General features: G+C 37.8%; 1 protein-coding gene across 4 annotated transcripts in view; it reads right to left on the bottom strand.

Annotated features, from left to right (window-relative positions):
• Positions 1 to 13,587, bottom strand: part of NELL1 (neural EGFL like 1) — a 906,136-nt gene that overhangs the window by 335,118 nt on the left and 557,431 nt on the right. For all 4 annotated transcript variants that reach the window (NM_001288713.1, NM_201551.2, NM_001288714.1 and 1 more), the window contains one exon: positions 11,115 to 11,237. In NM_001288713.1, the coding sequence (NP_001275642.1) occupies positions 11,115 to 11,237 (123 nt within the window). The remainder of the gene's footprint in view (positions 1 to 11,114; positions 11,238 to 13,587) is intronic.

The following is a 13,587-nucleotide window of genomic DNA, read 5'->3' as shown; positions in this document are numbered from 1 at the left end:
CTTTATCAAACTGATGAGCATAAATGTCTCTAGGTAACTTAGATGAGATAATTAGTTTTATTCTCTAGTTTGAGACATATTTTTCAAAGAAAACACTATCAGACCTTTAAGCGTAACCTTCTCTGGGCCTAAATACTCTTCCTTCTCTTAGAACTAAATTGGAATTAAGAAGTTCCCCCTCCCACTTCAGGATTATAACTAATACCCCCACATCTAAATTTAGTATCAGTATTTGTTGGTAAGCATTTTTATGACAGAGATTTTGCAAAACAATTTGAAGTTATTTTAACATTGCCTAACACTGCAGTTAATAATCATGTTAACAGTACTGCCAATCTACTTTTACAAACAATATGAACAGTTCATCTAAAATACGTAGCATTTCTGGGGGTGGAATAGTGAGGATGGGAGAAAGTCCTTATCATTTATCTTCTCCAGACTTCAGGAGGGAATGGTAGAGGAATGATTGCTCTGAATTTCTTTGCTTTTGTACCCAAGTAATAGCTTTTGCCCTTATGAGGAGGAATGTCTATGTGGCAAGCATGATGAAGATTGGTTCATGTTTGCCAGAGACCATGGCTCCAGCAAGGCACAAGCCATTCCTTTTCTTGGACCTCCCACACTCATATGTGATCCCCAAAACTTCCCATTTCTACATTATCAGCAGAGCAAATATCTCAATAGGTCTCTGCATCACCTGTTCCACCTTCTCCTACAACTGAGAAGTGAGAAGATGCCAGCCCTGCAGTGGGGTCTGATGGTCCCAGAGAGCCAAGAACCATCTATCTTGGTTCACTTGATTCAAGAGAACAAAGATAGATGTGGGACTGTGATTCCCACACTGTCCCATATCTATCCCCTACTGAGTCAAATGTGTAGAAGTGGAGAAAAAAGTAATGATACCTCATACCTCCAACAAGCAGTGGTAGGGTACTATTCCATTTTTCTGGAACAAAGTGATCCTGAGTTTATTTATGGCTAAAACTTAAATGGCCTACAGAGAAATGTATTCCATGCTGCTTCAGGCTACATATTAGAATACTGATCTGAGTCTCACGAATGTTTCCCACTGGTCACAACTAGGCCAGCACACATATGAAAAGACAATGTCTACTCAAGAGCACATGCCACACTTGGGTGGGTAGATGTATATGGCAGTATCTTGGATCATAAAGTTTGAATTATTGATTTTTATTTTTTCCAACAAATAGTGAGACGATCCATCCCTGTTATAGGTATGATGGGAAATATAGTAATGTATACAACATATGTTAAAAAGGCAATGAGTGCATTAAATAAGGACACAAAATGACTATCATATGCATAAATAGGTGTGTATTATATACATAATGTTTATGAAGTACCACAGAGCAAGAAACACCATAGGTTCTAAGAGAGATGTAATGATATCAGGGAAGATGGTAAGGAGAAAAATTTCAGTGGATTTTTCATCGTGCTAATAATAATATTGACAATTGCTAATGTCTACTGAGCAACTACTGTGTTCCAAACACTAACCTAAGTATCATAAGTGTATTATCTCATTTAATTTTTACAGTCACGTGAAGTAACTACCCTTATGGTTCTCCTTTAAAGATAAAGAAACTAAGGTTTAGAGAAATAAGCTTATGTGTTGAGGTATGTTCTTTTACAATCACCTTTCACAGGTGAAGAAAATTGAATTTTTCAACAATTTAGTCACTTGCTGAAGTCACATAGCTAGTAAACAGAAATATCAAAATTTGAACCCAATGTGTCTTCCTCCAAAGCCCATGCACCTAATGGTTATAATAGAATTCTCTATCAGCAACAACTCTTACAACAGCCTCTTCAGTTTTCCATCTTAGTTAAGAATTGGGTCTTCTGCCACCCACTCAGCAGAGGCCATATTTTTCTTTATAATTCTTTGAACCTCAGAAAAAGAGGGTGAATACTTTTTGTTTCCCATTTTCATTTCAAGACTACTTCCCTTTCCTCCAGCAAAGCCCCTTTCTCCTTTGAAGCTCATTTTGCCACATCCCCCAACCTGTGCCTCTCCACTACGACCTCTCATTTATTAAAGTGTCTCTTCTCTGGTCATCCTTCTCAGTGATTTCAGCATCAGTCCTAACATCATTCTTCAATATATGACTGCATTTAATATTTTATTGAGAAAATAGAAGTTATCATATTATAATATCTCATCTTTGCACCATCAAATCCACAGCCTCCAAAATTCTACATCTACTTTTTTTTAGGGCAATATTCCATGGAGAGATGATCATGGGTTAAACTAAAGCAAAGTTATGGAAATGAAAAGAAATAGTTGTATTTGTGATATTCTGAAGGGAAACATGATAGACTTGTTGATGTGTTGATGACAAATCTGAGAGAGAGAAATCAAAGAAAATACTTAAGATTGTTTTATCTGAGCAACCTGGTCAATGGTAATCCCATTGTTTAAGATGGGCAAGAAGTAGAAATGAGAAGTCTACTATGTGAAGAAGGAATCAAGGATCCTGTTTGGTTGTGCTAGGTTTGAGATACCTGTAAGGGATCCAAGTGGACATTTCAAGTACGTGATTGATTACATAACTCTGGAGAAATCAGGGAAGAGGTTGGGACTGAAGATATAAATTTAGTAGTCATTAGCATATAGATGGTATTTAAAGCTGTTATATTTGGACACAATTACCTAGGCAAAGAAAAAGAGAGAGAAAATGTTGAGCCAGTACAGCATTTACTGACTATAAAGAAGAATCCATCAAATAATCAGAGGAGGTACCTGAGACAGAAGGAAACCCAGGAGAATATAAGGATCTCTGAAATAAAATGTTTACAGAACAAAGGAAAGATTGATGATTTTAAATGCTTCAGAGAGGTTTAGTTCCATTCAGACTATAGTCTGATCATTGGACTACCTTTGTCTTTTTCCAGTTAGATAACCAGAGCCTAGCATAGTGCCTGGCCCATCATAAGTACACAATCAATATTTGTTCAATAACTTCTATGATGACTGCCTTGATTTATAAATTCATTCCGGCAAGTAAAAAATATTTAATGATATTACACGTGGGCATTCTAACAAGAGAAAAAAAGATCGAATTATAAAACTAAAGAGAAGAGGCACATGTAAGAAAGAAAGACTCATTCAGTTTTGTGGAAAAGGGATACTTGAAAATAAATCTAGAACCATGTTTTAGAGTCCTTTTGTAAAGAGCCTTGAATATCTTGGAATGTTGATCATCCCAAAGAGACTTAATCAGAAAATTAAATGCCCGGGGTACTATACAGAACTAAGTAACAAGAAGAATTACAGAAAATGTATGTTGTTTCTTTCTACCTTGATAACATTATTGCAGATCCTACAGTCTCAAGGTACAGGTAGTTGCCCAATTTGAATGTTCTGGAGAATGAGTGGGGTGGCTCAGCCATAGTCCTGTGCCTTGCCCTCCTGGGAACTAATTCCAGGTTCCCATGGACAAGAAATACATTAATAGCTGAAGGCTGTATCATAACAGATCTCAGGAAAAGGGGTAAAAAGCTATAATAAAATATTTGGCCAATATATCAGTAAAGATCAGCCTGTAGATGTTTTACAGATTTGAAGGATGTGAAATGGCCAATCTGCAGTCCCTAAGTCATGTAGTAAAACTTTGTTTACATTAGCCTTTCTTCAAATGGCAAACTATAGGCAAAAGTATGTTTCTTCCAGGTGGCTGGCAGGCCTTCTTTTATTTCTTAACGTGTGTTTAGTAACTTGTCATGTCCCCCATGTTGTCTTGACCGTCCAGCATGTTCAGTGCCTCCCAGCTCTAAACCTAGCTCATATTATAATTGCAGAATAACTGAATGAGTCTAAAAAGGGTCAATAAAGAAGATTTTCAAACAGACATTATGCAAAAAGGAAGCTAGACTTAGCCTAATTATTGCCTCTCAAATTAGGCCAAAGGATTTTATCATTTCTGGTATAACTATATTTAGTGTCTATAGGACTTTCAGCATCTATAGGCATTAAACATAAAATAGAATAAATTTTCTGTATGCAACAGACAATGTCTTTGAACTTAAATAGCAGGTCCACTGATGATTTTCCAAAACATTAAAATATGTAATACATAAAAATTTGCTTCACAATTTTAATTTGTCTTTGATTTTTCAGAATAATGGTGTAGATTCTGCAGTAATTAATACACCAAGCTACAAGAGCAGGTTGATTTGCATTAAATCAACTGGTCAATTCTCATTTTGCATCTATGTATTTACTGAGCATCCATTATGCACAAGGTTTTGTGTGGTAAAGGCTGAAATATAAACAGCTAAGTTTAACAAGACATAATACATTGAATACTACAAGCAAAATTCAGAGGACAAACAATTTATTCTGACTCAGAAGATCAAGGAAAAATGGGATTTGAGCTGGACTGTGAGGGATGAATAGGATTTCAGTTGGAAGAAGAGAGGATAGAATTAAGCACTCCAGTATAATAAATGATCCCAAGGAGAGGGAAAGGGCCCATGAAATCATCCATCTGGCCTGGTCTGTTGGGAGAATGATTAGTTAACTCTCAGGTGTGACTGGCAAGGTAATGGGGAAAGATGATATCATAAGAGATGAGGTTCAAACTATTCATATGGGACTACATGTCACAGGGCCTTGAGTGCCTTGCTAATAAGTTTAGACTTCATTCAAAAGAAAATAGATTAAGAGAAAAAAAATTGTATGTTTTTCCATTATTCTGTAGCCCACTCCTTCAGTCTATGTCCATTTAAGCATGACATTAAGGCTCTGCATACTCTTGACAAACTAATTCTTACCATTGTATGTTAAAAATTTGTATCCCTGTGTTAAGAGCACTTTGTGATAACTCCTTAAACTTAATTAAAAGGGATTTTTGTCATCCATGTTCACATCAATCTTGTCTTTACGCTTATGATTTATGGTCAAATCATCTAATAGTTCTAAAGAAATTCGAAAGTCAAATTTCTTATATAGTAACATCACCTGGTCCAGTTATTTCAATATGACCCTTAAGAGAAGCTTAAACACTACCAAAGATATACCTCCCCGCTCCATCAGTCTCTATAGGTGGGAAATTTTAACTGGCTCTAATTATAATGAGCATAGTCCACACTTGCTGCAAAGATTCTTCTGATTGATTGAGTCCGACCCTAAGCCACCTCTAATCTACCTGTTTTCTGACTTTATAAATCAATCCTATGTGGGGTACAGTCTCAAATCCTTTCTTAAACTGTTATGAAATTGCTCTATAACCAGAGGAGCACTCTTAGAAATATGCTTACAATCCTCCCGTTTTTCAATATGAATGTGTTTTTACAGATGGACCTGGCCCTAATTGAGCCAAACCATCCCCTGATATCAGACAGTCTTGCCCCTCATCATTCTTTCCAATATTTTGTCTAAATAAAGGCACCTAAGGGCAGACTTTTAGATTGGCACCTTCCTGAATTCTTCCTCATTACATTAACCATGTTTCAAAACTATGTCTAGAGTGCTGTAAGTACTTTTGCCAAAGGCTTCCTATTCCACTTGCTTCTTCAAACTCCCCAAATTTCATCTTCTCCGATTCACAGCCCAGTAGTTTATAAAGTTTATTATCCTTGGTGATACCTTACTATAATAACTTACCTTTCTATTCTCCCTCTCCCTCTCCCTTTCTCTCATATTGCCTGTGAGCCTCTGAAAAACAACTTTGTACATGTGAGATGTCTATTTGACTTATTTAATTCAGGATTGTTTACATCTTTAGCATGATCTGTCACATTACTCTTTCTGTCTATATCAAACCTCTGGCCTTCTGCTTCTGGCTTTCTGTGTTTTCCTTGTACACAGTTTATCCAGCAACTCATCAAACAGAAACTTCCAGGAAGCAGCTTGTCTGCACATGCACTCAATGCAAACATACTCATAATGAATGGTTTCAGAGCACTACAGGATTCTGGAGAGCCTTAAAATAAAGATTTCACCTATGTTCCTGGAGTTTCTACAGTGACCTGAATTTTACTGTAGTGATTTTCTTTGAAAGGCAGTCAACGTTAAAGTTGGTTTGAAGATATCTTGAGAGAAGGGGAGATACTTGATTCAACTTCCCTGTCCCACGCCCAATCATGGTGCACTGGTCAGGGAGTGAGAAACCCCAAAGTTGGTGGGCCACATGAATATACCAAGTGGCAAGATGGGCCTGAAGCTCCTACAGGGTTAACATTCACCCCAAAAATATCCCCAAGCCTAAAGAAGCAACATTAAATAGCAACTACAAAACTCCACGACAGGAGAAGAGAGAGATCATGGGAAAATTTCAAAGCTTTGTATTTCAGTATCTTTAATTTGCAAGTTTTTCCTGCTTTTCGAACTAGGAGCCCATGCTTGCATTTTTCTCTGGGTTCTGCAAGTTACATAGCCAGTTTGCCAGTGGATTTCTATTACTTGCAACCAAAGGAATCCTAACTAATGCATATGCTTTACACATAGCTCTGTATTTTGGGTAATTCTTTTCAAGCCTCTTTCACGCGAGATAATACCATTTTGTAAATGTTCCGTTGGGTTGGAAGAATTTGTTAAAATCTTTCCCCAACACTAAATGGTGAAATCCCTGGGGACTTGTCTTATTTATTTTTGCTCTTTTGGTGCCCAGACACAGAATTCACACTCACTGTATGTTTTATAAATAAATGTTAATATTATCAGTCATTAAGACAAGAATGCTTTCAAAGATCACCACATCCTATCCAGAGCTAATGACAGATAAGAGAGAAGACATAGTCTATCAGCTGCATATTGACAACTGCCTAGTGAAAGCTCACTTTCTGTTTTGGCATTAATGCAGGACTGGGAAAGCAGATAAACACTCTGCTGCTGATAAGCCTAACCTTCATGTCAGGTAATGCAAATCTGACTTGAAACTGTTTGCAAGCATTTTGTCCATTTAAACTCAAATGCCAAACTATTAAGCAAAACATATTGTATAGTTTCAGAATGACTTTAGTCTATTTATTAAATATGTGAGCAATTTTTAAAAAAATTCTAGGTTATCATTGTATGCTCTCTTCCCTTTCTATTTTCTCTTTAGTTTCTAGTTAGAATACAATGTGTGAGGGAGAGAGTTAAATGATAAACAGCCAAGAGAGGAGGAGGAAATAAAAAGAGAAGGAAAAGGAGGAGGACAAAGAAAAGGAGGAAAGGGAGGGAAAAAACTAAAAGCAGTTCCACTAGTTGAGTTAAATCAGATTCAACTACGTCTTACTTAAAATTTACTTGTGAAATAGAATAATGGCATCAACTTCTCAAGATTATGGTGGGAACTAAATGAGATAACATATATATGAATACACACATCAAGGTGTCTTGCACATACTTAATGAGAGTTTTTGTAGCTGAACAAGTATTTTCCATCCAAAAGAAGAAAAGACGCCTTACATGGGCATCGACCACCACGGAAACCCATCTGAGAGAATTCACACCAATTAGTATTGTTTCAGAAACTGATGTCTTATGTAATGCTTATAAAAAGGCATGTTAACTATTTACTTCTAACCAGATTTAGTCAAGTCTATGAACAATACCATGTCTGCCTAGAAAAGCTTTTCTATATTTAACACTTAAAAAGACTTAGTTCTGCTGAGAGCAGTGCCTCATGCCTGGAATCCCAGCCGTTTGGGAGGCTGAAGCAGGCAAATCACTTGAGGTCAGGAGTTGGAAACCAGCCTGGCCAACGTGGTGAAACCCCATCTCTATTAAAAATACAAAAATTAGCTGGGCATGGTGGGGCACATCTGCAACCCCAGCTTCTCAGTAGCTGAGGCAGGATAATCGCTTGAAGCCGGGAGGCAGAGGTTACAATGAGCTGAGATCAAGCCACTGCACTCCAGTCTGGGTGACAGAGCAAGACCCTGTCTCAAAAAAATAAAAAGTGAAAATAAAAAAGACTTAGTTCAAGTTGTCTGGTTATTCTTGTCCAACTCCCACTGTAAATGTTTCAGTTACAAGGTGGCAAAGTTAACTATAAAATATATGCCCTGAAATTGAGACACAAATTTGGTTATTTCAGGCAGAAGGCCATAAACTGCCAACCTCCTCCTCCTCTTTCTTCTTCTTTATTATAAGGCTAATACTAGTCTTTAGTTTGTATAGCATTTTACAGTTTAAAACACCAAATATAAATTCCGTTAGTGATTCTATGCAATAATACTGTTAGATAAATAGGGAAAGTAATACTAATCAATTTTTTTTTTTTTTTTTGAGATGGAGTGTTGCTCTGTCCCCCAGGCTGGAGTGCAGTAGCATGATCTCGGCTCACTGCAACCTCTGCCTCCCAGGTTCGAGCAATTCGCCTGCCTCAGCCTCCCGAGTAGCTGGGATTACAGGTGGACACCACCACGCCCAGCTAATTTATATATATATATATATATTTTTTTTTTTTTATTTTTTTTTAGTAGAGATGGAGTTTTGTCATGTTGGCCAGGCTGGTCTAGAACTCCTGACCCTCAGGTGATCCACCCGCCGCAGCCTCCCAAAGTGCTGGGATCAGGTGTGATCCACTGCGCCTGGCCTTAACCAAATTTTAATATGTAAAAATATAGAAGTTACAATTCACCAGTAATGAAAGCCAGTGTAAAGAACCAGTAGTGAAAGAAGGTGTGAAGAGTACAAGCTCTTTATCCAATTGTTCAACTATACCACATTGCTTTCCCATGCAGCATTTATAAAACACAAGACTTTTCCTTACTGAGGTCAACACAATTGATTATGACAATCACTTTAAGAAAATTATTTTCCCTAATTCATAACTTTCAAGGGAAGATATGTTTCCCCTCACAGTCTGCGGACATCAGGAACATTATTTAAACTCATATTTTTTCACAGCTGGACTTACAAAATTCTACGAAGGTGAAACCACCACTTATCACAATGGCAAGAGAGGACTCGGCAAATACAAACTCACTGGACAAGGGCAATTAATATTATTTTATGAGGTAACATAATTCTGAAAAAAAGTGCATTAAAATCCCTATGTTGCTCCTCAGATTTATAGCACTAGCATGCAGGTACCAGCAGTGGGCTTGATAATCCCTGGAATTACATTAACGTTTTTGTTTCCTTGTTTTGCTTTGGAAATTTCCTTAGCCTTTTAAAAAAGCTGAGCACTAGTTTATTTGCTTCAGGGTACTTTAGAAAAAATACGCACAAATATTCACATATAAAAGACCACTGGAAGAAGTGCAAATAACATGGAGTTCATAGCAATAAGTGAATTTTCTTTTTTCACACACACATGGGCAATAAGGTGACTAGTTTGCATGTTTCCAGTCTTTATGTATTTACATAAATATGTATATAGATATTTATAAATATTAACTTAGATATTTGATGATACTATATTGTTCTGAACTTGAATTTATTTTATTTTTTCTCAAAAATATGTAGGGTATCTTTCAATGTGATGTGTACATGTATGTATGTGTTTGTGTGTGCGTGCGTGTACATACAAATGTTTAGAGTTTTAAACCATAGCATTCTGCTCTATAAAATTCATATGCCAAGATAAATTTAATCATTCCAAGACTGATGGATATTTTGGTTGTTTCCAGTTTTCAGTGAATATAAACAGTGCTGCAAAAAAAATTCTATGCACATTTCCCCCTCTTCATGAACCTGTGCTTTTTTAGAATAAATTTCAAGAGGTAAAATTGATGGAATCAGTAGAATACGTACTTTGAATGTTGATAAATTTTGTCAAATTGCTGTTAAAAAAAAATGAGTTTTACCAATTTACACTCATAGTCATGTATTAGGCTTTCTGCTTACCTCACCTTAACCAACACAGAATAAAATTGATCTTTTAAAATTCTTCCCCAATCCAATCCATAAATATAGTGACTTAGTCGTTGTAAATTATTTTTCACTCATTACCAGCATTTCATCCCTGCAGAGGAATACTGACAATGTGTTTACTATGTATCTTTGGGCAAGTTATTTAACCTCTCTGTGTCTCAATCTTATCACTTCTAAAATAAGGATAATAATACCTACCTCATAGGATGTCTTTTGTTTTCTTGTTCATGTTGCCTATTTTTTCGTTATGATTGTGCCTTTCCTCTTTGGTGATTTGGTGAATTAACACATAGTGAACAAGCACCTACCGTGTGCAAGTCACACTCTAAATGCCAGGGACAATGGGGGGAGAAGATCAAGTGTTCACTGTCATGGAGCTTACATTCTAGTGGGGAGGCAGATAATATCTAAACACCAGGGACAGTGGGGGGACAAGACCAAGTGTTCACTGTCATGGAGCTTACATCCTAGTGGGGAGGCAGATAACACAGAGATAAGCAAACACATAAACCTGTGATGTTCTGTCAGGTTGTTTGTGAAGAAAAAAATCAAGCCTGGTGTGGGCTAAGAAGTACTAAGCGTACTATTTTAGATAGGGTGGTCAAAGAACATTTCTGTGATGAGGAGACATTTGAGTAGAGACATGAAAGAAATGAGCATTGTGGCTGAGGCAACAACAATGCTGAAGGAATAACAGGGACCCAGTAGGCTGAGGTAAAGGGATTCAGGGTGAGAGGAAAGAGAGGTGTCAGCTGTGAGGAGCCAGGGACCAGATGCTGAATGCCCTCATAAGCCAGAAGGAGGAATTTTATTTTTATTCTAAATGCTAAGGGAAGCCAGGGCGCTGGCCTCTGAATTGATAAACTGCTCCCAGACGCTGAGCAAGGCTAAAACTGTAAGTTTCCTACCCAAGCAGATACCTCAAGTGTGGACAGAAACAGTGTCCACTTGCCCTTGGGGAAAATCTCACAGGAAAGAAAAGCCAATATCCGCAATCCAAGCTTCCCTCACAAACTCATGCCAACAGGCAAAGCTGAACAGAGCCATCAAGTTATGTAACTGTGTCCCTGACCCATACCTATACCTTTTTCTTTCAACTCCAAAGCTAAACCTGAAGCATTTTTCTTTTTCCCTGACGCACAGTACCCTTGCCAGTTGATAAACCAGGAGCAGGAACCCTGGCTGTGTTCCACCAAGAGTTACCAAGAAGGTCCGACGCACAAGTGCCAAGAGCCCAGGCAGAATGGCTGCTCACAACTCAACACTAAGGCGGCAAGCCTACCTCTGCAGATGGTCCCGTTCCCCACGTAGCCCGGTTTGCAGGTGCAGCTGTGTCCCTGGACAGTGTTGGTGCAGATGGCATTCTCATCACAGTTGTGCTGGCCGCTGCCACATTCATCGTGTTCTGTTTCCAGGGTGAGAGAAAAAGAGAAATACTTTTTCTTAAGTTGGAATTACTGGTATTGGGAAATGTAGCTGGAATTCACCAAATAAGAATGACAGTGACTACCACTTGTCAGTACCTTACTATGCGCCTAAAAGTTCCTGTTGAAATCTAAACTCTGAAAGAAAGATGTTATTATCCCTACTTTGCAGGTAAAGAAACAGTATCAGAGAAGTCAAACAACTCCTGTCCGTCACACAATTGGTAAGTGCTGCACTAAGGCCGTTGTTTCTTCCACCTTCTAAAAAGGTTTTCACAGAGATTCCAAGGTAATGGTTCTTAGTAGGGGGAATTTTGCACTGCCTCATCCTGCAAACATTTGATATGTCAGAGGGTGTTTTTGGTTGCCATGATTGGGAACAGGAAGTGATACTGAAATCTAGGGAATAAAGGCCAGGAATGCTGCTAAGCATTGTACAATGTGCAGAAGAGCTCAAAACAACAAAGAACTAGCCAGCCTAAAATGTCCACAATGCTGAAAAACATCCACAATTGGAAACCTTCCCCTCAGGTTACAAAAAAGAGGAGAGGAAAGGAGGGGAGGGCAGGGGAGGGGAGGGAGGGGAGGGAAGGAGGGGTGGGAGGGGAGGGAAGGAGAGGGGAGGGGAGGGGAGAGGGGAAAAGAAACAAACCTATATGAGAGATTGCATGGCTTCTTTAGAACAAAGAGGATAAAACTGCAGAGAAAGGCTGGTGAATATAGCCTAGCAAAGGAGAATTTCCCAAAAAAATTTTTGAAGGAGTACCACTGGTCACAGGGAAGGCTGGCGAGCACAGGATTGTGCTGAGAGTAGGAAAAGGATTTACTCTGAGGCCTCTGTTTAAGGGCCTTCAGCAGTTTAATTTTCCATATAGCCCACTTTCATAGGGTTCAGAATCTAACCTCTGCGTATCTGCCTGCCATGTAGTGATATGGGTTATATATATTCAGATAGCTGTGGCATCCTTGACCCACAGGACATGGAGGGAAACCGATCTAACCCTAGAAAACAGATGAAAAGATTCCAAGTTAGAAACTAAGGTTTCATAGATAACTATAATTTCCTCTCACACTCAGCAAGTTAACGGAGTTACCCAAATGACTCCTCTATAACTAAACAATATGGCAAAGTTTATATCCTTTATTCCTTTTTAACATCTGCTAGCATAACTTCTCACAAATTTTAAGAAGAAAAATCCAGTAGGGCCATTCAAATCATAAATAGTTATAAAACAAGAATAGAAATTCCAGTTAGAAACCTCAAGGAAATAACACTAATTGGAACAAAACAAAAAATTCAATATAGTTTGTTAAGTGAATTATTCAACCAATGTACCAATCATTTGAAAAACCATCAATCTTCATTTATTTTTATTTTAAATTTCCTAATGGGGACCCAGTAATGAGAAAGGTTAAATCCTACAAAATAGGACTGTTTTCATCACACACACACAACAGAGGTAGGGCACACACATGCATCTGATTGTTGATTTAATAGTTGAATTTTCCAAATAAAATTTTTATTTAGGCCTTAAGACCAACCCAAACTGTCAGCAAGAAATGTGCACAGGTTAGCAAACGGTGAGAAAAGAAGATAAGATTTCTGAGGACACACTTCAAGTCTGTGCTTAAGTCATCTCCGGCACACTCCAGAAACAGTATACCCTTGTGCATGTCCACTCGAATTTACAAACCTATCAAGTACCTAGTATTTGCAGGTGCAATAGCAGACAAGGTTAGAAACATAAAAAAGTCTAAGGATTCAGACTTATACTCCAAGAGTTTTCAGCCTCCTTCTTTAAATTCATTTAATAAATAATTATTATGTTCTGTACTGGGAATACAAAGATGAGTAGATAATGGTCTTTGCTAGCCTGAACGTTTTAATAGGGGTAACTAACCGGAACACAGAAGATAAGTGATAAGAGTTATAAGTAGTTGACCTTTTATTTTATCATACAAAAGGAACATATTTTAGAATGAAAGGGTGCTCTACTAATAATTACACTGGGATAACAAGCATAACTCAGAATGACCCAGGCAAACTAGCATGTGTGGTCATGCTAGATAAGAGGAATAAAGATAAGCTAGACTGAGAGTTCATTGGAGGGAAGAAATTCCTTCTAATGGAGAGAAGAGAAAAGTCCTCTTGCAAAAGGTAATATTTTAAATAATCTTTCACAAATGATCAAGGTTTCTCAATTAGAGTTGCTCACGCAGACTTAAGTATGGAGAAAGGTATGGTTCTGTGCAGCATTCCAAAAGCCTGGTCTATCCTTCCCTACCAGGTCTTATCTTCCAATATTCTTGAAGTAAATCTTTTTCTCTAAT

The sequence above is a fragment of the Homo sapiens genome, chromosome 11 (genome assembly GCF_000001405.40).
Source record: "Homo sapiens chromosome 11, GRCh38.p14 Primary Assembly".
NCBI classification, from domain to species: Eukaryota; Metazoa; Chordata; class Mammalia; order Primates; family Hominidae; genus Homo; species Homo sapiens.
This window is presented reverse-complemented; position numbering and strand designations above follow the sequence as displayed.